The sequence below is a fragment of the Homo sapiens genome, chromosome X, assembly GCF_000001405.40.
Source record: "Homo sapiens chromosome X, GRCh38.p14 Primary Assembly".
NCBI classification, from domain to species: domain Eukaryota; kingdom Metazoa; phylum Chordata; class Mammalia; order Primates; family Hominidae; genus Homo; species Homo sapiens.
Genome location: NC_000023.11, coordinates 42,472,782 through 42,474,950, shown reverse-complemented (window position 1 = coordinate 42,474,950; position 2,169 = coordinate 42,472,782). Strand labels below are relative to the sequence as shown.

General features: G+C 53.0%; 1 annotated feature.

The window, feature by feature from the left end:
* Positions 436 to 972: an enhancer, noted in NCBI's record as "H3K27ac hESC enhancer chrX:42333231-42333767 (GRCh37/hg19 assembly coordinates)". NCBI's record gives its function as "activates a minimal SCP1, AML or CMV promoter by ChIP-STARR-seq in primed H9 embryonic stem cells {active_cell/tissue: H9 hESC(primed)}" and the evidence as "EXISTENCE:reporter gene assay evidence [ECO:0000049][PMID:30033119]".

The window sequence follows — 2,169 nt, the reverse complement described above, 5'->3', positions numbered from 1 at the left end:
CTCATGCGGAGCCGAAGCTGGACTGTACTGCTGCCATCTCGGCTCACTGCAACCTCCCTGCCTGATTCTCCTGCCTCAGCCTGCCGAGTGCCTGCGATTGCAGGCACGCGCCGCCACGCCTGACTGGTTTTGGTGGAGACGGGGTTTCGCTGTGTTGGCCGGGCCGGTCTCCAGCCCCTAACCGCGAGTGATCCGCCAACCTCGGCCTCCCAAGGTGCCGGGATTGCAGACGGAGTCTCGTTCACTCAGTGCTCAATGGTGCCCAGGCTGGAGTGCAGTGGCGTGATCTCGGCTCACTACAACCTCCACCTCCCAGCCGCCTGCCTTGGCCTCCCAAAGTGCCGAGATTGCAGCCTCTGCCCGGCCGCCACCCCGTCTGGGAAGTGAGGAGTGTCTCTGCCTGGCCGCCCATCGTCTGGGATGTGAGGAGCCCCTCTGCCCGGCCGCCCAGTCTGGGAAGTGAGGAGCGTCTCCGCCCGGCCGCCATCCCATCTAGGAAGTGAGGAGCGCCTCTTCCCAGCCGCCATCACATCTAGGAAGTGAGGAGCGTCTCTGCCCGGCCGCCCATCGTCTGAGATGTGGGGAGCGCCTCTGCCCCACCGCCCCATCTGGGATGTGAGGAGCACCTCTGCCCGGCCGAGACCCCGTCTGGGAGGTGAGGAGCGTCTCTGCCCGGCCGCCCCGTCTGAGAAGTGAGGAGACCCTCTGCCTGGCAACCACCCCGTCTGAGAAGTGAGGAGCCCCTCCGCCCGGCAGCTGCCCCGTCTGAGAAGTGAGGAGCCCCTCCGCCCGGCAGCTGCCCCGTCTGAGAAGTGAGGAGCCTCTCCGCCCAGCAGCCACCCCATCTGGGAAGTGAGGAGCGTCTCCGCCCGGCAGCCACCCCGTCCGGGAGGGAGGTGGGGGGGGGTCAGCCCCCCGCCCGGCCAGCCGCCCCGCCCAGGAGGTGAGGGGCGCCTCTGCCCGGCCGCCCCTACTGGGAAGTGAGGAGCCCCTCTGCCCGGCCACCACCCCGTCTGGGAGGTGTGCCCAACAGCTCATTGAGAACGGCCCAGGATGACTATGGCGGCTTTGTGGAATAGAAAGGCGGGAAAGGTGGGGAAAAGATTGAGAAATCGGATGGTTGCCGTGTCTGTGTAGAAAGAAGTAGACATGGGAGACTTTTCATTTTGTTCTGCACTAAGAAAAATTCCTCTGCCTTGGGATCCTGTTGATCTGTGACCTTACCCCCAACCCCGTGCTCTCTGAAACATGTGCTGTGTCCACTCAGGGTTAAATGGATTAAGGGCGGTGCAAGATGTGCTTTGTTAAACAGATGCTTGAAGGCAGCATGCTCGTTAAGAGTCATCACCAATCCCTAATCTCAAGTAATCAGGGACACAAACACTGCGGAAGGCCGCAGGGTCCTCTGCCTAGGAAAACCAGAGACCTTTGTTCACTTGTTTATCTGCTGACCTTCCCTCCACTATTGTCCCATGACCCTGCCAAATCCCCCTCTGTGAGAAACACCCAAGAATTATCAATAAAAAAATAAATTAAAAAAAAAAAAAAAAAAGAAAAAGGTACAAGCATCTGTACCCCCATTGAGTTGTTGAGTGATCATTCTCCTGAAATTCTCCCATTCTATACATGTTAAAATACATTTTTTATGCCTTTTTTTCCTATTAATTTGCCTTTCGTCAGTTCATTTTCAGCAAGCCTTCAGAGGATGAAGGGGGAAGCTTTCCTTTTTCACACCTACAATATTTTGATTGGAATTGCATTCATCTACAGATCAATTTTCAAAAAAACTGACAGCTCAAGGATTGGTGGTATGCACTCAGTGGAGGCTACTTTTCATTAACTTTGGTCTCATTAATTGGCTTTATAATAAACACATGCAACTGAAAAAAGTAGAGCTTTGTAGTTTGTGATTAAACATAGTATTTCACTTGAAAATAAGCTTCAAGTGCTTACAATTTTGAAAACCACTGGTTTAACCTACTTACAGTATTGTTATCACTAATTTGGCTTCTGTCATCTTATTCTATGCCTTCCTATTTTTAGTTCTTCCTTCTGGTTTCTTTTGCTTTCTGTTCTTTGACAATAATTGACTTTAATTCTGTTAATAGTCATTTAGAAGTTATTTTTATAAACGCTTTGCACTCTGTCTAATCCTTATGAATGAGCAGT